A 23,586-nucleotide genomic window follows, 5' to 3' on the forward strand; every position below is an offset into this window, starting at 1 on the left:
AATGGGTGCAGCACACCAACATGTCACATGTATACATATGTAACAAACCTGCACATTGTGCACATGTACCCTAAAACTTAAAGTAAAATAATAATAAAATAAAAAATAAAAAAAGTGGCTAACATACAGTATCAGGGAAGTGAGAGAGCCTAGAGCATGGACATGCATTGCTATGGCTATGCTTTCAGAAGGACCGAGCTAGTTCTGACCACTGAGATCTTCATTCTCAGAGGAAATTGGAGCTTTTGAAACTCAGGTAGGGGTTTTTAACAAGAGAGTATTTAACAGAAGGTGTACTCAACTCACAGAGAGAACACCATCCCATAGCAAAGTCAATTGCAGGAAAACCAACCAGAAACACAAATTGAAAGCAAACAGGTTACTTTACCTGGTCACTGAGCAGGGGCAAGGAGCCCCCATCTGCTGAGACAAAGCTGGGCTGCTCACTTCTCTCCTGTGAACTGATGACTCTGGTTGGAAGGCTTTCTGTGCCAACTTGCTACTCTGATTCTTCGGATGTGCTCAGCCCCTCATCTCAGCAACCTTCTTGGGTGTAGGAGAATGGGTCAGCGAAGAAGACTGTGGATATCTAAAACGTTATGACAGTTGGATTAGTACAGTCTTCAGTAGAGCTGCTAGACTCTTGTACAATGAGAAATTATTTAGAGAAAACAGCCCTTGCACCTGGGCTCATTTACTGCACTGATGTGTTCATTCCCCCGCCTCCTTTGCTAGTCTTCGATACAATAGAGAGCTATGTATTTTCTCAGGAAATACGCTCCAAGTTATACTTACCTTACCTCAGAAATACCAGGAAAGATTTATATGAATGCATGGATTTCCACTGACAGAGTACACTTGGCTTTAAGAGAAGTTCAAAGCTATTTTGCTAACCAATATCTGGATGGACTAGAAGTATTTTGATAAGAGAATTTCATTCTTCCTCAGCATTTTCTGCCACCATTGAAGTATTTTACTGCTTCCCTTCTGCAAACAAAACAGATTGCATGTCACCTCTCCTATTAATATTTGGTGGTGCAGGACTCTCACGGTGATAAATAAGGACTCAAGGATGTTCCACCATCCCTCACTGGGCTTCTGCACAGTAAACTGTACTCAGGCCACTGTGCAAACTCAGCGGCTCCGTGGCTGTTCATTTTCCACCCACTGGTCCTTTGTCTTTTATCTCCTGGGCATTAAGTCAGATTTGATGGTATCAGTGGGCTGGTAAAGGTTGACTGATTAATGTCTGTAAACCTCAAAGTGACCATCAAAGCAATTTATTAAAGAATGGGGACTAAAGTAAACTCTGTATATCAGAAGGAAACAATTGCAGCAGAAGAGATTATTAGTTCTTCCCTGCAGAGGATTAAAGACAGTTAATTAGGCCAAGTCATCCAGTGGTTAAGCATTTCTATGGTATATGTGTGTCTAGATAACAGAAAGCACAAAAGAAAGAAAATTCCCTCACCCTCTTGCTAGAAGGTTTGTATATCCGTCTTCACATGAAACCAGCCCTCCTCTGCCCACTAGAGCCAGACAACAGCCCTTTGCTTATCTGGACACTCGGATTCAGCCAAACTGGCTTTGCTGGCAAAAATATAACTTTCTGGATTGAGCAGACATTGAATATTGACTTAGAGATGGGATGGGAGGGTTCTTTTTACTGTTGTTTTCTTCTTGTTGTATTTTCTGTCCCCCTCTCCCCTTTCCTCTCTCCCTTTCTTCCTTCCTGTCTCCCTCCCTCCCTCCCTTCCTTCCTTCCTTCCATCCTTTTTCTTCCTTTCTTTTCAACATATTTTCCCACCCTCCCTGACCTGTTGTTAATATACCATTAACAAAGAGATCAATTAAATTTCAGTTGAAGTCTTGGTGTGGAAAACGCATGCTTGACAAGCTTGAATTTTCAGGGATTGTTTATGTTCCTGATAGTCAAAATGTTACTCAAAGACTGGAGTTTGTGGCCAGGACTAGCTTTGGTGGCTCAAGCAAGGCTCCTGCTTCTGGAAGCAGGACACAACACACACTGGACAGAAGCATGTCAAGCATGGCACAGAGGACAGTGCCAGCATGTGCACCTTCTCCTTAGTACCAAAGCAAGGGGGGTGGACTGGAATGAGCATGATGGGTTTAGAGTATATACGAAAATATCCTGGCATTTCCACCTCATTGTGGCGGGCTAGAAGTGGGATCAAAAGGACCCTCTAGTTGACTGGAAAGGTTGAACAACTGCTACCTGGAAAAGCCCAAGGATGAGTTCTAGCTAAAGTCAAGGATGAGCATCACATTTTCTTTACCTATGTGGACACTAAAAAGAGTTGGCCATCTTTCAAGTAGTGTGTGTTGGAGATTTAGAGGAAGAGAAAAAAACCCCATCTGGATGGAATAATTAAGCTGAGGTTTTTTTGGGGGGGTCTTTGTTTATAGAAAACCTCTTTTATTTTCAGCAGGAATTTGTGCTTTCAATGCATTCTTCTTTCTGATAGTCTCAACTGCCAGGTGAAGGCTCTTCCTGTGTCCTTCCTCCAGCACAGTCTGAACCAGTACGCCCATCACTGTCTGGATGAGCCCCCCAAAACTGCTTGTGGTTTGGGGGTAAAAGTTTTATGATTACTTTATCTCCCCAAGTCTGTCTTTAGTCTGTCCTTCCTCCTTCCAGTTATCTTTTTTTCTTGGCACAGAGAGGATCAAAAATCACCGGTACCTAAATAAGACAATTAATGAAAATAGCCCCTCCCCCTCCTTAGCTTCTGAACTTGTTTCTGGGGCCCAGCAAGCCCTTCAAGGGACCATCCTTGTTAAATGCACAGGCACCATGGCATCATCACCCCTGGCTTTTCCCTACCGTCCTGCAGTACATCAGATATTTTCTCAATCACAAAACTTTTGATCGTCGATAAACCCTTTCCCTCTTTGTACCTTCAGGGTGGCTTCTCAGGGCCGCTAATGCCCACTTAAATCAAGAGGGATATCGTGTGTCAGGTGATTTTAAAGAGTAGATTGAAGGTGTGAATGCACAAGTACGTATTCATCTGACTTTGAGCAAATGTTTTAGTTGCTTTTAGGATGAGTTATATCTAGGTTGTCTTTCTGTATGCGAGGACCTTTGCACAGAGAACACAGACTCCCAAGGCATCACTTTGATGCAAAAAGCTTTAGTGCCATTTTCCGTCCTCTCTGTATCCAGGGTGAACGACAAAGAGGGAAGTAAAAGATTAGAGATCATTCCAAATTCAGGCCAAACAAGGCATCTGCTATCCACAGAAAAGGTGGAGAGACTCCATAGGTTGTTCTGAGAGTTGAAGCTGGTGAAATGGAGACCTTTCACAGCCTAGGCAGCAGAGAGGGGCCAGCCTCCCAGCATTTCTACAGGGAGGTCCCAGCAAGTGCAACTGTAGCAGCACGGGTGTGGGTCAGAGCCGCAGGCTGCCCCAGAGAGATGAAGCCCTGTGGGACCAGCTTGGTATTGTCCAGCTCATCAAGAAAAGTCAAATGTCAATGGTTTGGTCTCCTCTGGTACATGGAAGCTGACTCACCAGTGTTTCTAAATGCATAGCTAAATGCCAGTTAAACTTTTGCATTTCAAATACAGCATGAGCACCTACATTCAAATGCTGTAGTATAAATCCATATGTAGCAATCAACTTTATACGTAAGACCTACAGGCTTCAACTAATTAGAGGATAGCCTGATGACCAAAGAAAGTAAGTTGTTCTACAAAGCCTATTTGGTTTGGTGTCTCAGGCTCCAAAGGTGCAGCTGTGTCACCTGCTAAAATCAGGCGGACATCTTGGCTCTGCTTCCATCTGTGGTCCAATCTGACTGTCGTTCACATCCTTCTCCAGCCATCTGCTCACCTCTTGAGGCAACTGGCTGCCCAAGTAAACCAGAAAACCAGAGGGGGGTCACATAGGAGGGCTGGGCAGTGGTCAGGACAGCAAGGGACATGGGCAAGAGGCGCAGGGACGCTGCTGCGCCAGGAGCGCCAGCTTCTTCCTGAAATCATCTGAGGGCAAAGTGAGCATCTCCGTCTGCTTTCGACCTTAACAGTGGCTTGTTTTTAATTTCTTTTAGAAGTGAAAACTACAGCCCTGACCCCTTGGAAAGGTTTGTATATTTTTCAGACAGCTGCTGCCTTGGTGGGTGTGGGGTATGTAAAACTCTTCACCTTCCTCCCAGATGCCTTCTTTCCTGAGCTAACTCCAGGAAGCAGCGCAGAGGGAACCCTCCCCCAACCTTCAACCATCTCCGTGTCAATTTAGATTAACCCCATCCTCAAGGACATCCAATCCTTCCTAGGTAGATCCCACTTGCAGTAGCCTAACTTCTCTTTGCTGGTGGCACTAATGAGCACCTGTCAGTGCCCAGAATAGCTCCATCTCTGGGCTACTCTGCACCAGGCCTGCCTCTTTCCTCACACACGGATGCTCTAATGCAGCGATCTTCTCAGACCTTGGCCCTGCATGCTGCCCTTGCTTGCACCATTCTTTCTATCTCTCTAACTTGGAGCTGGAAGGGAAGTGGCAAGGGGAGGGGAAGATGGGAGGAAGGGGGAGGTTCTTGGGTGAGTCACTTGGCTACGAATAAAATGCATCTTATTTGAAGCTTTCATTCCTGCCAGATGTTTCCGATGGATAATTGACACTCATCACCGTTCTCTGGGACCCTAACTGTCCTGGTAATTAGTCTCTTTAGGCCTCCGCAGCTCTCTAATGAGATAGAGGCAATAAAGGCATTCACTGTGGAGTGGAGGCGTGGCTGAATGAAGAATGGAGGCCTCATCTGCGTGGCCCATGTCACTAGGCAGATGGGCTGAGCTGTAGCTCTGACCAGCACTGGCTTTGAGAGGGCCTTGATCCCAGGGTGCTGTGGTCCACGCCCACCTGGACCTAAGGTCTTCATCTCATCTCATGGAATCCTTCCACATAGCATTCATTCATTCAGTGTGGGATGGCCTGCGGGAAGCAGCCCAGTGGCACGCCTGCGGTTCTCACCTTTTAACCTGTACCCAGGTGGAGCAGGCCATGCAGCCACACTCTCTTCTCTTTATTCTCTGAAGATGCATCTCTGAGATAGTGGGAAGATAGTTGCATTTGAAGACAGAAGTCAAGAGACTTGGGAAAGTCACTTAAGCTTCCTGAAGTTCAGTTTCCACATGGTAGAAAGGGAGATAATAATTCTCATCTCCTACATGAGTGTCATTAAGGTGTTGTGATAGCTTTCCCAGTGCAAGCGCTCTATCTGAAATCCTAACTGACATGGCTTTGCTTCTATGTAGATAGACACTCAGCCACAGGAATTCTCAGTAAGTTGTATTGGATATAGTTAGAAAAGGGGAGGAAAGGTATTTGGAAGAGGAAATTGAGGTAAGGCAGAGGGCAAGGTATGAAAAAAGTTTTTGTTTTATTTTTTCTTCAAGTACAATTTTAAGCAAAAGTAAAACACAAAGACAAATAAATGTGGATATGTCAGCATGAGTGGCAATGCCCCCTCCTTCTTTCAACAAACATTGGTTGAATACCTGCCACGGGCCAATGAGATACAGACTCTGCTCTTAAGGAACTTACTGCACAGAGGACAGAGGAGGAAATACAAATAAGTTAGGCAAAGAGAATTATGACACAGGGTGGTAAGTATTTTACTAGTGGGATGTGTATGGCACTGAGCAAGGCAGGGAAGGCTGCCTGCAAGAGGTGCTGAAGGCTGGAAGAGGAGCTGGAATGAAGAATAAGAGTGATATGGGTGAGACATATTTCGGACGGAGGGGAGAGTGTGTGAGGGTGGGGAAAAAAGACCCGCCCCTGTGTGCTCACATGTGGTTATGTGGCAAGGGGCAAGGGCACCAAACTAGGTGTGGCAAGAAGAGACACCAAGGCTGCAGACTGCAGGCACATCACGAAATGTAGTGCTCGGTCCACTGAGAAGCTGGACTTGGTGCTAGCCTGTTGGCCTCAAATCAATGAGGATCATGATCGATTTGGGGTAGAAACATCACCTTGGAATTCGCATAAAGAATAAATTCCAGGGGTCAAGGCCACAGGTGGCAAGGTCCAATTGGTGAACATTTTTGGGAATTGAAAGATGAGATGGTGCAGAGTATCTCCTTTGGGAGGATGTCTCATTTGAGAGAATGCCCCTGCCTCGGGGCTACCCCTGTTTCCTTCTCCTTCTGTCCAACTTGGTCCAGGTCTGGTGTCCTGGATGTGCTGCTGAAGAGACAGGTTCCGGGGGTGGTGAGCGCATGTACCTGTGGGGTGGGCTGCGCAGACTGGATATGGTCACATAGTGCCAGCCACTCACCAGCCTGAGATGGAGATGATGATGATGGAGAGCTTCAGAGGGGCTGCTCAGGCTTTTCCCAGATATACTACAAGCAAGAGAATGGCTGGCAGGCACTTGGTGGCCTTTTTCTGTCTTCCATAGGAAGAATTTTCTAACACAACAAACAGGTGAGGACACGACTCGTCTTTACAAGCTCTCTGTGGTGCTTCCCAGCATGGAGCAGATCCACAAAAGAACTCTGAGGGGCGTAGCAAGGAGACCAAACACAGGCACCCAGGGAGAGCGCCTGGCATAGCCACAGGGCCATTGAGATCTGCCACAGGGGGTGTTTGCCCGCTCTCAGTCGTCTCCCGAGCTGCAGAGTCCCCAGCCTGGAAACAAGGTTTCAGCATTCCCTTACATGGTAACTACGCCAGGCCCCTGCTGGGCTGAACACCTGGCTGTGGCATTCTCCTCCCTGGAGGCTTCCACTGGCAGGTCAGGCTGCAAGGAGGGAGTTCAGAAGAGAGGAGAGAACACCTCAGTGCAGGGAAGCGGCACTTGTTTTCCATCTCTTACCCAGGGCATCTTCTTAGTCACAGGGAGGGAGCGGGAGACGGGAGGTGGGAGTGTGCGGGAATTGAACAGGAAATGGGTTTCAAAGATGTGTGTGGATGTTCAGGAGAGCACAAGGGATGAAAGAGGCAGAGCAGTGTGCTGACAGCTGTGTCCCCTGCCGGGAGTTAAGGACTCCAGTGTGCAGGACACGTATGGAATTGTACGGTGTGATTCACGCATATGAAGCTATCTTCATATGAATGTGAACACTCACAGTGTTGAGGCAAAACATTCGACCTGGCTTCCATAAAGGCCTGCTGGGCCATATGGACTCAGAACCACCCTTGTCGTCTCAGAGTCCTCAGCCTCGGGCACAGACAAGGGCCTTGGTTGGAAGAATCTTGGAGTTGCCTAGAGGGGAAGGACTTACGCAGAGCAGAGAAACATAGTCTCTCACCCTTGAAGGCATCCGGCGGAGGCTTCTCTCCTTTGATTCCAAAGAATGTGCTCTGTAGATGACAGAGTGAGCATCTACAAAGGGGGAACGTCTGGTGATGGTTTCTGTGGACACATAGTAGTTAGATTCTAGAAGACACAACCAGTTAGTGACCGATCCTAAATGACAAGCATTTCTGGGTTGAGATTTAAATCCGCAGGAGCTTTACAGGAGTGCTCCTTGGTCACCTGTATCCTAGCACAGATGCCTTTGGTTTTGTGTTTTCTCCTTAATGCAGGGTAGAGAGAATAAGTATCCCCTGGGCTTCTCAGCATGGGGATCTGCACCTCTGAGAAGTTCCGGCCTTAGGGATACTGTGAATCAGACACCAGGGAAACATGAGGTTGATGACCTATTGCATTTCAATCTCATGGCTACCTATTTAGCCACGCCCCCAAATTAGGGATTTATCCCAAAAGGCCAAGACATAAAATCATATGGGCACTGCCTCCTAGCCAGGAGTTCTAGACTTGATGGAATAATCCCACATGGAATTGAGAAGCCTGTTTTGATTTTGATTTGTTTTAGCCAGAAATGTATCCAACGCTGAGCATCCAAGTCAGGCAGGCAGGTTCTGGCTTTGTTCCTTGTTCCCTAATCCAGGAAGACATGGACTTAGTGAGGCCACCAGCTTTAAATACCTCTATTAAATTCAATGCAACAGAGTATGCCAGAGCAGGTCCAGTCTGAGGAGGTGGCCTGGTTCCTTGAGTAGCTAATTCATCTGGGCATCCAAACTTATGTACTCTACAGAAATCAAAGCTCCACTGGTCATGGGGTTTCTTGGCCACAAGGGCCGAGGTAGCCAGAAAACGTATGTTTCAGAACAATAGGGAAGCTGCTGGGGAACTGTACTGCCTTGCAGTTCTCCTGCCTCCTGTGTTTGTCTCCATCTCCATACACTGGGGCAGGTTCTGCATCCCAGTGTCCTCATTGATCTCCAGTTACATCCACATGCACAGGAAGGCTTCCTGTTCCTTTGTTTGACTCACCTCCATCCATGTGGGCTGGCTTCGGCCTTGCAGGCATGTGATCCTTGAGCTGCATCTGCTCTTACCCCATCCAGATGGGGAAGAGGTCAAGTGCTCCAGGTGGAACCCAGGTGCCCTGCCCTGAGATAGAGTGATTGGCAGGATGGCCTCTGTGCCCAAGGAAGCAGAAGCAGCAGGCAGACACATTGTTTTGTCCAACAGGTTCTTTTCTGAGCCACAGGCCAAGCAGCTGGAGGGTGGGTGAGTATTTCAGGCAGGCAGTGCTCAGAAGTGGATGGGTGATGAGGCACTCAGCACAGTAGTCTGACTTTATTAAAGCTCTGTGTAGGATATTAATGAATCTGCCACCTTCTTCTTGAATTTGAGCCTGAGCCATGGCCTTTGCATGTTATGACACAGTAAGGAAGAAGGCCCAGGACACTTTAACCTGAGCCTCATGTTCTCTCCTTGCAGGGGAAGGCTTCCCGTTATCTAGTGTGTGTGTCTTGGGGATGTGGGCCATAGAACGTTCACTTCTAATGCTGGGGCTGGAACACCATGTGTTTCACTTAGAGGGATGACTCACCAGGGGCAAGGCCAAATGACAGCAGACCAGGCAACCACCGGGCTTTCCTTCCATTTTCTCCCAGACCACTCACGGCGAGTGTGTTCTCTCCACAGGTCCAGGCGCCGTCAGCGAGGTGAGCAACGGCACGTCGAGGAGGGCAGGCTGCGTCTGGCTGCTGCCTCTTCTGGTCTTGCACCTGCTTCTCAAATTTTGATGTGAGTGCCACTTCCCCACCCGGGAAAGGCTGCCGCCACCACCACCACCAACACAACAGCAATGGCAACACCGACAGCAACCAATCAGATATATACAAATGAAATTAGAAGAAACACAGCCTCATGGGACAGAAATTTGAGGGAGGGGAACAAAGAATACTTTGGGGGGAAAAAAGTTTTAAAAAAGAAATTGAAAATTGCCTTGCAGATATTTAGGTACAATGGAGTTTTCTTTTCCCAAACGGGAAGAACACAGCACACCCGGCTTGGACCCACTGCAAGCTGCATCGTGCAACCTCTTTGGTGCCAGTGTGGGCAAGGGCTCAGCCTCTCTGCCCACAGAGTGCCCCCACGTGGAACATTCTGGAGCTGGCCATCCCAAATTCAATCAGTCCATAGAGACGAACAGAATGAGACCTTCCGGCCCAAGCGTGGCGCTGCGGGCACTTTGGTAGACTGTGCCACCACGGCGTGTGTTGTGAAACGTGAAATAAAAAGAGCAAGAAAGAAAAAGGAAACAAAATAAGACCGTCTGACAGCAACAACGGTCCCACAAACAAGTCACAAAAGATACCGTTAAACTTTTTTTTTTTTTTATCATTTTACTACATGAACATCATGGATAACAAGGGATTCTGATTCATTATTAATTTCATTAATTATATTTTCTGATATGAGTCTAGAACTTACTGCAAAAACAAGACAAAACTAAAAAAATACAACTGAGAAGGGTGAAGAGAAGTATGTTTGTTAAACAGTAAAAATGAATAGTATACTTCTTAACTAGGTTTACAACTGGTGGACCACACACCAGGCACTAATCACCTGGTGAGGATTTGGCATATCCACCAAAAAATGCATCCGATTTAACCAACATCTCCACCAGCGCTACGGACTCCTCCCAATTCTGACATCTCTTGCAGACAATACTATGCTCTCTACACACTGTTTAGAAATGGAAAGGTGATCTGCACTGTATCTTGGGTTTGTTGGCTATGCTTCCTTTGATGACATATATTATACAGTATATATATACATATATTTTTTTTGTTAGAGTTCTAGCCATTTTATTTCTCCGCAGGGTCCTTTCTCAGACATTACTGCATGCTGTATATGGCGTTAGCTGTGTGTTGATCTTCTAAAAGATGATAGAGTTTACTGGTAATTGTGTAATCAGCTCCTGCCTTTTTATTTTCTTGGGTTATTTACATGTCAGAGACATTTATAAAAAGTGAAAGGATAAAAAAAAAAAAAAACAACTAATACCGGGCGCAGCATCTTTCCAGGTGTGGCTCTGCGCTAGGCCACCCCAGGTGGCCCCGCTTTCTCCATTCTGCCCTGTGGCGTTAACAGACAGCAAGCAGCTGAACAAGCAGTACCGTCAGTACCCACTTGCTTTAGCCCATTATGGGAATCTCTGATGCCTTTGTGACCACTGGAGAGTTTAATCCTCTTGGTTTATTTTATTTCCCACCTTTGTGTGAGTGTGTATGAAAGAGAAGAAAATGCAATTTTTAGGTAATCTTTTTTTTTTTTCCCCTCCCCTGAAAGTCTGGGAACCTGAGAGTCCTCGGGGAGGGGTCCTGGATGTGATGAGGGAAAGGGGGATTGGGGGATCCGGGAGGGTGGGGTTGTCTCTGACTTGACATTAAAAAGTGTTCCATGTCCCTCTTCACCTGGTGTGGTACCTCATTCTACAGCGGGGCGGGGGCACAGCCTGCCTGGCTCAGGTTTGAAGAATGGGGGAGGATGGGCTCTTAAACCCTCCTGGGATGGAGTGGTGGCAAGTGCTGAGATGACAAACAGGAAGGACGTGGGACCTCCTCCATCCCCGCACAGAGGCAAGGTGAGGGTGCGTCTGATAGGGACTGCATTTTCAGTGCCTTCGGGAGGTCCTGGCCAGGGCTGCCAGTGTCCTGCTTGTGCTCAAACATCTTACCACACAAGTGGGCAAAGGTCAAGTCTAGTCAGGGAGAAGACTTTAGGCCCAATTATTTCTGGGAAGCAGCAGAAAGTCACTGTCACGGAAAACAAGAAAACCCCCGAGAGCCAAAAGAAATCTCCCCGCAAAAAAACAAAACAGAAAGCCAGCTTGAAACATTGTGTTTAGTTTTAAATAATCTCCCATCAACCAGTCCTCCAAACCCAACCTCCAAACCTCACCTCTAGCCACATAAGAGGAACTGAGAGACAGAAATGGGTCCGAGCCAAAACACTCAGGAATGACGGCACTTGCATTTCCAAGTCACCTTCACCTGAGAGGAACCAGGAAGGACTGGGATGGAGCTGTGTCATTTCCAGTTGCTTCCGGCAAGACTGAAGAAAGCTATTGACTTCTTCACCTTTCTTTGTGTCCTTCTACCCTTTCACCCCTAGCCCCACCCATGTCCCAGATGCCCCAAGTTTTTCGCAGCAGCAAGGTCTGGAACTACCTGGCCAAGCCTCAGGAATCTTGGCTGCACTGGTGTTTATCCCTGCCTATGTCCAGGAACCATGAAAGAGGAGGGGCTTTGGGTCTCCTTAGAATGAAAGTGGGTGGCTGGGATTGACTAACCCTCCCATGCCCAGCACCTCAGCAGACACTGGCCTGAGGGTTTGGGTGCAAAGCATGGCTTACTGGAATAGAGTGGGGAAAAGATAGGTGAGCTCCATATTCCTAAACTGGAGCCCAGAAACACCTCTGAATACCATGTGCCAAGGCCCCTGCAAAGAGGCAGTTCTGAGGCTTGGCTGAGAGAGAACACAGTGTACACAACCTTTGTCTGAATGGGAGCTTTATCTTTCACATCTACTATGTACTAGTAGGTATCTACCAATATCTACTAGATAACCACCAGTAGACATTAGTAATATCTGCTACTGCTAATCGTGCTTCAAATAACAGTCTTCACCCTCCCAGGAGAGAGAGAGTGCTGAGTCAGAACCAACTTGGTAAGGGGCACTGATGAGGACTTAATTTTACCTATTTGCCAACTCAATAGTTTTCTTGCCTTGTGGATCTTTAGAGCCCTGGTTATGCAAGAGCACATTCTTTGTTGAACCAGCTTGACCGTGATTGATGAGTTCACCAGATAGGAGCCCTCCCTATCCTGCTTCAAGAGGAGCTTACTCTCACCTTCTGCTAAGTGTGCTGTGTGAGCCTCAGTCTGCTGAGTTTCAGTCTTTAGAGGAAACATGTGGGCACCACAGGAAAGGGTATTCTGCCTCCCAGGTCTTCAACCAGATATAGAGTTCCATCTAGGAGGACATGGCTTTGAAAGGAGCTTATAGGAACAAGTCACAGACCTACCTTTTCTGGAAATGGGAGCTTGGTAAGAGAATGTTCATCAGAATGAGCACAGAAAACCACCCCGAATAGAGCCTGTAGTGATTTTTTTTGTCTTGGTACAGGCACTGATGGAGGACAATTGCTACAGATTGGCCTGGATTCCAAGTATACTGGACCCCTTGTGATTCAGAGATAATCACTGCCATACTTTAGGATTCCTCCACTACCCCTAATATTAGGATGTCCCCTGGCATGAGCATCTCATGAATGCAAGGTGGATTGTGAGGGATGGACGGTCCCTAGCCACTCTAGCCAAATACTCCTGTAGAATCACATCTCTCTTCTTTCAGTGGAATATCTACTCCTTTCCAGCCATGCAAATGTGCAGTGGCTCTTCTGCTCCTGTTGTTAAATATTCCCCCATCAAGGCTGGTACACAGTGGGTCCAGATGTCTAACTTGAAGCATTGAGAATACTCATCCAAGGACTGCTCTCTGACCAGTGGGATGTACCAAGCATATTCATGGCTGACAATCCACAAATGTTTGTTTTTGTTGCTGTGGATGGTGATGATGAATGACAGCTATTGTTGTTCAAGCTGGAAATAAGTTAGCAAATGAATTAACACTAAAATTTAATTGAGGTTGAGCACATTTCACTGCACTGACTCCATCTTTATCTTATACCTCCTGAACTGTGAGTTTGGAACCAAAGACAGCAACACTAACCAATTACAGGAATCTAACGGATGGAGTTGTTTAATTAAAACATGCGATATGGGTTCACGACACATTTGTAAGGACTTCCTATTTCCACAATGGTAAAAATTTGAGGTACTTCTCACTAAAGAGAAGAATATATGCTAAAGGACGGATGTGGAACGCTGCATGCCGTTGTGCTACTATTTGGCAAATGCACATCACACACCAGTCGCTTACCCTTCATCAGAGAAGCAGTCAAAAATAATTGAGATTACTGGTATCTGATGCAGCAATGAAGTATTACCTCTTTCCAGCATTTTTTAAAAATTTTAAACCAAATCCCAGAGCTAATTTGTTTCAGAACTTGCTCATTGGGACTTGAGTGCAGAGTATGTCTCCTTTGTCATCCCATAACAACTGCTCAAACAAGCCATTCTAAAGTATCAATTCTTTCCTCTCTCTGTTCTCAATTCAGGCACTATTTCCCTGAGTGTCCAACTTTATCCACCTCCAAGGCTATAAATGCAAATTCATATCCCCATGACTTGTGAATAGCTGAGCTCTCTGAGTCTCTGCCTTCTCATTCAGATATTTCTGTTTTCCATAACGCCATACCTTCGCCATCATGCAGCTATTATGTTGTTAGAAACACACGCTGTTTACAGAAAAGGCTCCCTAATTCCTGAGCTCAAGTTAAGATCCATTCTTACAGTTCATGTCTGAGGCATTTTGGTGCGTTATCCTTTATGGAGGTGACCTGGGTTGACTTTCGTTTTTTGAATGTTGATTTTTACTCCTATGCAAGCCTCCAAATAACTTGTATCCCTTCTCTTGGTATGATGTGAGAGTATATGAGTTTATTTCAATATTTTAGGGATTGTTAACATTATTTGAAAATGAATTATTCCTCTCTCAGTACATTTGTTTGATTAGAACTTCCTGGAGTTTCCATAGCACTTACCTTGTTTCCAGTGAATCTTGAACTGTGGCATTTCTGAATAGCACTGTGATATTTTGGATACAGAACTGAATTGCTAATCAGTAGAATTAGGCTGTAGTCCAGATTTTATCACTAGTTAGTTGAATTTCCCTTTCCTTATCTTTTATATAAGATGTTATGATGGAAGATTGCTAATGTTCCATCTAGCTTTAGAATTCAATAATAAAGTGATTTTAGGTTTTATAAGATTTCTGCAAGGAAAAATTGGGGAAGCAGTATTTTTGATAAATGAAAATTGAAAGTGTGAATGTGGGCAAGATCCACAGCCAATGCATTGTCTCTGTTTCCAGAATGGTTCATAAGAAGATAAAATGCATGATCCTGTCATTTCTGCAGATATTTGAAGTGGCTCCTCAAGGAAAACTTGAGGGATGGACGCTGCAGCACTTGGAAAGAAGCAATGCTTAATAAAAGACAGTAGCTTTTTCTGGAAAAGGAAATGATGTTAGCCCCAAGCTGCCCTCTGTATGACACAAGTAAAACAAGAGAGAATAAACTGTCACACATCCTAAAGTCTAGAAAAGTAAAAGATGTTGGGAGTAGGCAAAATTCTCCGAATTTTCAGTATGAGTGTGTGTGTATGTGTTTGTGTGTATGCATGTACGTGTGTGTGTAGTATTTACTCTAATTATTTAATTCTTCAAAACAGATGACACTTGTTATTCCTAAGACTCATCTTTAAAATAACAAGAAATAGTGATGAAAAGAGGGGTCTCTAGATATAGTTCACAATGATTTCTCATCATCCTGACCATTACAATCAAGGATCCAGAAGTGCGCATGCAGATTTTATTGGACATATTTGTGTATTTTTGGCTGAATTCCAAGTTAATTGAGTCCTTCTCACTCTCCTCTCTTGCCCCTAGACTCTGGGCTTCATTTCCAACCCCTCTGTGAGAAGCCTGAGGATGTAAGAGGAAGAGGGCAAAGCGTGGGGTTGGAGCAGAAAGAGTATGGGGTTGGAAGATAGGTGAGCCCTGGTCCCTTCCCCCAAGCGCCTGTGCCCAACCACCCTCTTCAGCTTTGATTTCTTCTGAAGGTTCACTTTCAGAGTTGATGGAAGGTCAGACAGAGCCATCAAGCTGTACCTCCTGCACTAGACCAACTGTAAGAGTGAGACAGATGCCAGGAAGAGGAGCCCAGACTGCAGAGTGCACATGTGGATGAGGGGTCCTCATCTTCTTGTGGAAGGATGCCGGAGAAAGAGAAATGAAAATAAAATAAATGATTCTACCCCACACCACATCACTTTCGCCAGTGTCCATAATTCTCATTTGTGTTTGGCTACTCGAAAAGGAGCTAAGATCTGTGGCAACAGATGCTGTCTGTCAAATACAAAATTCCTTTTTCTCTAAGTGTTCGTATTACAATTTAACAGGCAAGAAAAATGAAAATAAAATGAGAAAATTTAAAAGACATCCAGACAGTTAAAACTTGTCAGTGAGTATCTAAGTGCGAGACATCTGCATAGACGTGCATCAGATGTCTTCTGTGATGCTACAAGTAGGATCTCAGAGAGAAGAATTGCGGTTTTGGCTCCCTGCTCACTGGTCACAGGGAGCACCATTCTAGACATGCTCTCAGCAAAACACAGTCAGATTCGAATACTAGAGGTAGCATGTGCTCTCACTGCATACCGATGTCTTCCTATTTTCCTGCTGATCAGAGATAGATAGAGTACAGATAGTATGAAGCAGGCAGCCAAGAGATGCGTTTCCACCCAAACCCAGCTTTGGATTGCTAGGGGACCTGCAGCAGGCTGCTGCACCTCCAAGCCTCAGTTTCCCCATCGATGACATGAATGTTGGACAAGATGATCTCAGAAGGCCTCCCGAGATCTGAAATCTTCTGGGTCTCCACCTGCATGCTTCCATAGTTTGTATCTATTTCCATAACTAATAAAATTATACAATTCAAACCAAGGCCAAACCTTTATGTGGTGTCGGCTTTGTGGAGCTATATAGGAGATATCTCTATTCACACTGGACTTGGCTGGAAAAGCCCTTTGTTTCTGACATGACATGCAGATTGAAAGGCTATGGTCCTGACACCTTGGATGTAAGGCTGTTCCTTCAGAATCTGAAGAAAAAACACAGACACTCCAGTATAAATACACAAAATGTTCTACATAGGTTCCGGTGGTTTGTGAGCTTTTAAAACTCACTATTGAGCCCCAGTGTTAAGAACCCCTGCTGTGAAATTTCACCTTGGATTTGTCTCATAGGCTGCTTACATTTCTCAAATATAATTGGTAAGAATTGTGTTCTACAGGCTTTAATTTTTAACTAAATAAACAACAACTAGGGCATCCTTCTGAATCCCCCAGGGAGTTCCATACGGACTGAATCTAATCCTTTGGGAATCAAACCTGTAATGATCTAACTGCACAAGATCTTTGCCCCAAACTCTTTCTGCTGACAGACTCCTCTTGGCATATGTTTCTACCTCTGACAATTACACCAGCTTAGATAAAACCAAACAAGTTTGTATTTTATTTATAGTAACTAGTGATACCAACTCTTGCTGTCCACCAGAGAGCTCATAGTTACAACGAGTCAAGAAAATCAAATCAGCACTGTTTTCCCATGCCCATTACGCTCAAGGTAGTCAGGACATTTGATCTAATAACACCTAATTCAGGGAACACTCCCTTGTGTCAGGGCTCCAGAATGTTAAGGTGCTCTATCCTTCTCGCCAGCACTTTCTTCTTTGTGTCCTGAGTACAAGTTGCTGCTCCCCACCTCAAGTCTGAAACATTTTTTTCTTTCATCTACTAAGCATTTGATGGAGCCGACATTACCACAGCATGCACACAAGAGGGTCAGGCAAACCATTTGCCCAGCCCTAGTCCTGAGCAAGGAAGTCAGGATTCCACAGTGTAATTCACTACTCAGAAGTGATCGCCCTCCCTCATGGCAGCACAAGGGCAGTAAATTCATTACAACGAGGTTGCTGCCACTTCTCACATGCACCTCAACACTGCTGTTTTACAAAAACTTCAGATACCCTGGCCCTGGATCATTTATGCATTCATGCATGTCTCTTTGCCCAGCCACATATAGAATCACTCCTCTAAATATTGGCACACTAGGAACTTCTATATTAATGTCTCATCATTCCTTGTTTTCAAAAATATGAAAGAATAATCAGTCAAATGGAGTCCACAGCATAGGATAAGCTGAGCTCCCGGAAGACCGAGGATCAAATTGGAATGTGTGAGTAGCAGTATAGCCTATTTCCTAACAAACAGCAGTGTTAAGGCATGCCCCTGAACTATCAATGAGAAAGTCTTTCTGACTAAATAACTCACCAACCTAGTTCACTACATTTCCTTAGTAGCATTTTCTATACATTTCCCATTATCTCCTCTCTTCTCTGTCATTTATTTTCCCCCAGTACAGCCTACCTTTGCAGTAATAACCTAAGAAGCAAGATATCTAAGAACCAACCGGGAAAAAAAGATTCAGTTGCACAGGGCTATTCTATACCCCTCGGTTTACATTAGTCATTCAGAGAGTGACATTATGACTTGGAGGAAAGAAATGTGATATGGTTGGGCTATACTTGGGAATATGCATTACCTGCACCTTGGGTTAAACATACAGTGCCCTGAAATAGACAGGCTATATCACTGGCAGGGGTTTAATGGACATCTGAGGCAATTCTGTGCTAGGAATTGCATCAGTAGATTTGAACCATTTGGAAAACTAGTCAGGAAACTCGGTTGGACTTAGGCCCATGTATTCACCTTTAGCCATTTGATGAATAACCCAGATTAGCCACAAGAAAAGGACATTTGCCATGGAAGCCCCAGGGATGATTACTTCAATAGTTCCTTGAGGAATGGGAGTGGGTCATATTAAGCTCCAGCTTCCCCGTGGCTGGAGGTTTCTGGCACATACCCAACACGGGCTGGAGACAGTTCTCCCTCTAGCACTACTCTCATATCAGGACTGTAAAACTCTATTGGAACATCAGGATTCCACAGAGAGTCAAGAGGAGAATTCAGTAGATTTATGTTGTTGCTGACATTTAAGTCTATGTAAGGACTTTTTTCAGTCCAATTCTATTTCCTTATATTTCTGAATCATTTTATCTTCTTTCTGGTCCATTTGTTCCTAGGGTCCCCAAAGACCCTCCTAAAAATTAGTGAAGCAAAAACTGCCACCATTGAGGAGAAAATTAATTACACATGGAACTGGATTAAAAAACACCCACATGTATTTATTTATTCCCCACTATTTACTGAGGACCTAATATACCCAGGCACTCTTTTCCATGCTGTGGATAAAATGCTGACCAAAATAAAAATGCTTCCTGCTCCCAAGATGTTTTCAATCTAGCAGGGAAGAAAGTTAATAATAAAATTATATCCCACACAAACAATGTGCTATACATGGGGTGTTATGAACACACACAGCACAAGGAGCCTGTCTGAGAGACCAGGAGGGTGTCCGGATGAGGTGAGACTTGCACTAAGCTACAAAGATGGGGAGGAGTTAACTGCAGACTGGGAGAGAGAGGGAGGAAGAACTTAGTAACCACAGGTACAAAGTCCCTAAAAAAGGAGGAAGAATAACATAACAAAAAACCCATCATCCTCAAATGTATTCTCATATATATTATTTCTATGGATTACTACTTTTTTCAGGTATGGGCGCCTTTACTGCATATGCAGCTGAATTCAAACCAGTACAAGAGCGTTTTTTTACACACACATTCACACAAAACAATGCACCAATGAACTTTTAAAATATGAAGGATCCATGTTTTCCAAGACTTAGACTGTTCTCAAAACTTCACGCAGCACATCTGACTCACTGGAGGAGACCCCTGTAGAATTAGGATCTCCATGGGAAGGGCCATGGAATGAGTATTCTAAACAAGCTTCCCTGGTGACCTTTCAAAAGGAGTAAATCCAAAACAGAACATGTAATTCTTCCCAGTTTCTTTCTCTCCATAAATGGCACCATCAAACTGGGATCAAACCAAAAACCTAGAACTTACACTTGACTTCCCTTTCTCTCTCCCCAGTCCCATGCAATCGATCAGAAAACTGTCATTTCCAATCTGTGTCTTGTCTATGTCCTGTTTGCTCATTCAAGCCCCCATTGTTTCTCCAACTGCTCTATAGTAGTTCCCTATCTAGTCCACAACAGCCCCATAGCTAGTCTTCCTGTTGTTGAACTTTCATCACACAGTAATTCTGGAGTGAGACTTTTTAAAAAAGCAATGACCTGTTGTAGATTTTGACTCATTTTAATTTAATTAACAACTCTCTCAAGGAAGCTACTTCTCTGGCCCTAATTTACAGGTGAGGAAAGTCAGACTTAGGGAGCACTCAAGGTCACTAGAGGTCAAACCAGGATTTTAACCCAGTTGTCTGAACTTGCAAGCCTGCTCCCTAAGGTATACTACATTTAAAAAGTATTATTTTTATTATTTTATTTGGTTCTAAGATGCATGTGTTTTTAATTAAAAGTCTTTGAAGTTGGAGCTGTGTGTTGCAATCAATGACATGTCATACTTTAATTGACATCAACTTTTCCTTGTGGTATATACAATAATTGCATATCTTACAACTGACAACTCTTAGAGTTGGTGAAATACAGTATTTGTTGAAGGAATGAGTCAATGAATGAATGAGAGTAGGTCAGGGGAGCTACCCTGAACATCTCTGCTTTATTTAGGCTTTGTCTCCAAGGTATCACCACTTACAGGACACATTGAACACTTCAGAAAAAGATGGTAGTGACCTCTATAACCATTCTTATTACCATCATTATTTATGGTTCCAATTAATCTTATTTTAACTTATGTAAAAAAAGAACTAAAGATAAAGTTACATTAGAGTAACCCACCTTTGTTTAACATTTCCTGGTAACTATTAAAAATTTAGTCACTGAGTTATTTCTTCCAAACTGCTACTGTGAGATGTTTTAAGGCATTAAACAAACCCATTTTCATTACTCTAGGTGGTTTGAACTAGATGTTCCTAATTTTAGGGACCATTATTATTCTTCTTTGTGAATCATACACTTCTAAAAATAGCCCAATGTTTTCTTGTGTTAGAGGAGAAAAAAAATAGAATGCTTGCCCTTCTATTTGCATGTATTTTACTTTATGTGGATGGTTTGGACTGGACATTTGGGGATTTGCAGCATTACAATCAGTAAATGAGGAATATCTGCCTAATCAGTCATGCACTAGTAGTAATATTAAACATAAAAATTTACACTGTGGTTTATAAAATGCTTTCACACACTCCTTCTTACTTAATCTTATTTAAAACACTCCATAACTGTGTAAGGATAGACATGGCCCTTCACACTCCGCATTTTCTTAATTGTATTTCTCTCTAAATACTCTCAGGGCTCTGAAATGACTACTTCAGATAGGCCCAAAGTCATGAATTAGCCAAGGAGATACAGGGTCAAGAGTCTTAGCGAATTCTGGAAGTACTTTTCTGAGTGGTAATGATTCTGCAACTGCAAACCAGAGTTCACTAATGTCTTTTGTGGCACCTAACATGAAAAAATTGGGTTAGAGAAAATCTAGGGAGCAGAACCTGGGCAGCTGGAACCCCTTAGCCTGGGACATCTAACTGTGAACAGCTTTGTCCATTCGCCCCACTGTGCTATGCACATACACATGCTCCATGTGTGTTAAGAAGTGTGAAAGGTTGAGCAATGCTGCACACTTCAGAATAGATTGAACCTTCTGTCTGGGCCCTATCAATCCTGATGTGTGTCACTGAACATATTTAGGTGGTGCCACGACCACTGATCTACTTGCGGAAGGTAACACAGGAGCTGAGGTGTGCACTACACACATGGCTTTGTGCTGGGGCCCTGAATCTCACTGCAACATAGATGCTAAGACTCACTCACCATCCCAGCCTGGATGCTGCCTTTTTCCCGGGGCTAATTCCATGCTAATCCAGGGGCTTTTGAAAAGCTTTAGGGCTTTGGGAAATTTCTAGGAATAACATAATGATCTCTCGGGAAACAAAACTCAGAGTAAGAATATACTGCCTATTCCACACTCTGCCTTTTCTTTATCTCCCAGTGCCTTGAAAACACTTTCACAAACTGCCCCCGCCCCCCCCCCCCCCCGCTAAGATGAACTTCCTAAGTGAGATTTCCTGGTGAGCCAAATAGCACTAGGACTAGATGCGTGCCCAGAACACATCCTGTCTGGTTAACCCAGCACTATTGAGTAAGAGCAGGTAGCTGAACCACATCAATAAAATGGGGGTACCAGTCCTTTATGTTAAAAGAGATTAGCAGCCAAGCCATTATACAGAGCTGTAATGCCAGAGGCTTTATGACCCTCCGGGAACCCACAACCTCTGGGAATTTTTACCTTCTATCCCATTTAAATCCGAGAGGCTTCCCCGCCCTGCTGGCAGCTCCAGAGTTACTGCTGAGACTCAGGGAGAAGCTGTTATGAAAAGCTGAGGTTGTTGCTAAGCAAAGGCAGTCTCAGGGAGGCAACTGATAGCGCAAAAGCAACACCTGGTCGAACTGAAATTGACATGACAGCTTCTCTCGGCTTTAGGCTGCCTTCGCCAGGGTTAGCGTTCCATTCGCCTAATATCGGAAAGGCGATAAGCATAGACAATTGCAGTTCCTTCAACAAGCATCCAGTGGGGGAATAGTGAGGAATATGGCAAACTGCAGGGTGAGCAAAGCTATCTTGAAGGATGAGGTCCTCAGAGTATCCTCAATGCCCAGCACCCTCAATGCACCACGTGTCCTCTGTCGGGGAGGGGTGAGCCGTGTGGAGGAAGCAGCTCCCACACCTGCACGTCCTCCACTGTCCTCATCTAGAGAAAGGAAATTGTGAAGAGAAGCGACTTCTTCCTTTGGGAGCCTTCAGACTCTGGCGAATATGAGTGCAGAGCTCCTGGCATCTGGTGTTTAGGTGGTTTCGAAACAGAGGAGCTCACAACAGTCCATCAGTGGCCTCGTCTTCCTTCAAGAGCCCCACTGTGGACTCAGTACTATGCGTGGTGTGTTGGGAGATGCAGGAGACCTGCTCAGGGTCTCCTCTGCAAGGCATCCTCTGCGCTACAGCACTGATACATACTGATACGTTAAACAGAGATTTCTTAAAAAGACAGCAGAGCCAGAGGACATGGCAAATGGTGTGCACATGTCCTCTGGATAGAGGAAGGTCAAAACAAACAGAGCGACATGGGGACAGCTGGGAGGGCCAGGGAAAGCCAGGACTTGAGGAAGGAGCCGGGAGACAGTAAGATGTGGATGAAAAACGGTCAGGCCTCTCAGCAAGGGAAGCCACATGAGGGAAGCCCTGCAGTGGGAATGAGCAGAGCAATTAGACCTTTCTTTACTGACACGTGGCAGCAAGAGATGGCTGAAACCCCGTGCATTGCTCAATTTTTGCCTGCCTCTAACACATAGTAGCAAAGAGAAGATAAAGGAAATATCATAGGTAAATACACTCAGCTTGTTCCTGTAAAGCTTTGACTGCAAACACCCAGGTAGAACCTCTAGCCCAGGAGCTGGGCTGGATCTCCTGTGAGCCACAGTCCTTTTCCATCTCTCACTTAAGGACTTACTACCCTGGGAGGCTGAGGTGAGTAGATCATTTGAGTCCAGAAGTTTGAAACCAGCGTGGGCAATGTGGCAAAAACCCTGTGCCTATGAAACAAATACAAAGATTAGCTGGGCAAGGTGGCACATGCCTGTAGTCCCAGTTATTTGGGAGGCTGAGGTGGGAGAATCACTTGAGCCCAGGAGTTCGAGCTGCAGTGAGTTGTGACCACGGCACTGCACTCCAGCCTGGACAACAGGGTGAGACCCTGTCTCAAAAAAAAAAAAGAAAAAAAAGAAAAAAAAATGACTTACTGCCTTAAGAGCAGAAGGGGTTGCTTCCTGTTCTCTTCAGGCTAAACTTGACTCTCTAATGCAAAGAAGAAAAGAGGGCATTATATTCTAAGACCAAGCTTTTTAACAGTAAACAAATCCTCTGCAGCTGGTATGCCAAGGTATCAGGGCAGACTCCAGCCCCCAGAAGCAGGCCTGCAGAACCAGCTGTGCTAAGCATTAACTGACTAGAACTGAGCACCTTCTTTGGCCCCTCCAAATCAATTCTTCATCCTCCTCCATCCTGCTCTGCACCCAGAAGGCTGACCTTAACTGCCAGCCTCAAATGGACCCCTTGACTGTCTAGCTCCAGGCTGGATCTTGCTAATGGGAGACACCTGCAGAAGAGTGGAAGGGAGAGAAAAGAGAAGTTGGGCTACTCCTCCCTTGGGCCCCTTCCTACTGGGCAGGAGTCAGCAGAGTCCCTATTTCTCTATAAAATCCTCGGTTCCCATCAGTGGTTTCTCTCCATGGCCACAAATCTAACCAGATTCTCATAAACACTCCGTCACTTTGACCTTTGCTGCCATGGTGTCTGCATGATGTGGATTCCTCTGCCTCAAAGTCTCTCCCAGCACTCCCCAACATTTGCCTGATTAACCCCAACTCTGCTTAAATGTCATTCTCTCCACAACTCCAGAGGGGTATTAACAGCTT

At 44.9% G+C, this 23,586-nt stretch overlaps 1 protein-coding gene across 41 annotated transcripts in view, besides 2 other annotated features; it reads left to right on the forward strand.

The window, feature by feature from the left end:
* NTM (neurotrimin) overlaps positions 1–10,744 on the forward strand; it is a 966,208-nt gene extending 955,464 nt beyond the window's left edge. For 21 of the 41 annotated variants that reach the window (NR_147848.2, NR_170359.1, NR_147850.2 and 18 more), the window contains one exon: positions 8,968–10,744. Coding sequence is in view for 16 of the 41 variants with exons in the window: in NM_001352007.2 (NP_001338936.1) it covers positions 8,968–9,068 (101 nt within the window). In the remaining 25 variants the exon portion in view is untranslated. Of the gene's footprint in view, positions 1–4,074; positions 6,686–8,967 lie in introns of all 41 variants that reach the window. The other 20 variants (NR_170346.1, NR_170347.1, NR_170366.1 and 17 more) reach the window with 8 other exon arrangements.
* Positions 3,943–4,442: an enhancer, noted in NCBI's record as "H3K4me1 hESC enhancer chr11:132199915-132200414 (GRCh37/hg19 assembly coordinates)". NCBI's record gives its function as "activates a minimal SCP1, AML or CMV promoter by ChIP-STARR-seq in primed H9 embryonic stem cells {active_cell/tissue: H9 hESC(primed)}" and the evidence as "EXISTENCE:reporter gene assay evidence [ECO:0000049][PMID:30033119]".
* Positions 8,528–9,028: an enhancer, noted in NCBI's record as "H3K4me1 hESC enhancer chr11:132204500-132205000 (GRCh37/hg19 assembly coordinates)". NCBI's record gives its function as "activates a minimal SCP1, AML or CMV promoter by ChIP-STARR-seq in naive H9 embryonic stem cells {active_cell/tissue: H9 hESC(naive)}" and the evidence as "EXISTENCE:reporter gene assay evidence [ECO:0000049][PMID:30033119]".
* Positions 10,745–23,586: the final 12,842 nt, after the last annotated feature.

Source organism: Homo sapiens, chromosome 11 (genome assembly GCF_000001405.40).
Source record: "Homo sapiens chromosome 11, GRCh38.p14 Primary Assembly".
Taxonomy (NCBI): domain Eukaryota; kingdom Metazoa; phylum Chordata; class Mammalia; order Primates; family Hominidae; genus Homo; species Homo sapiens.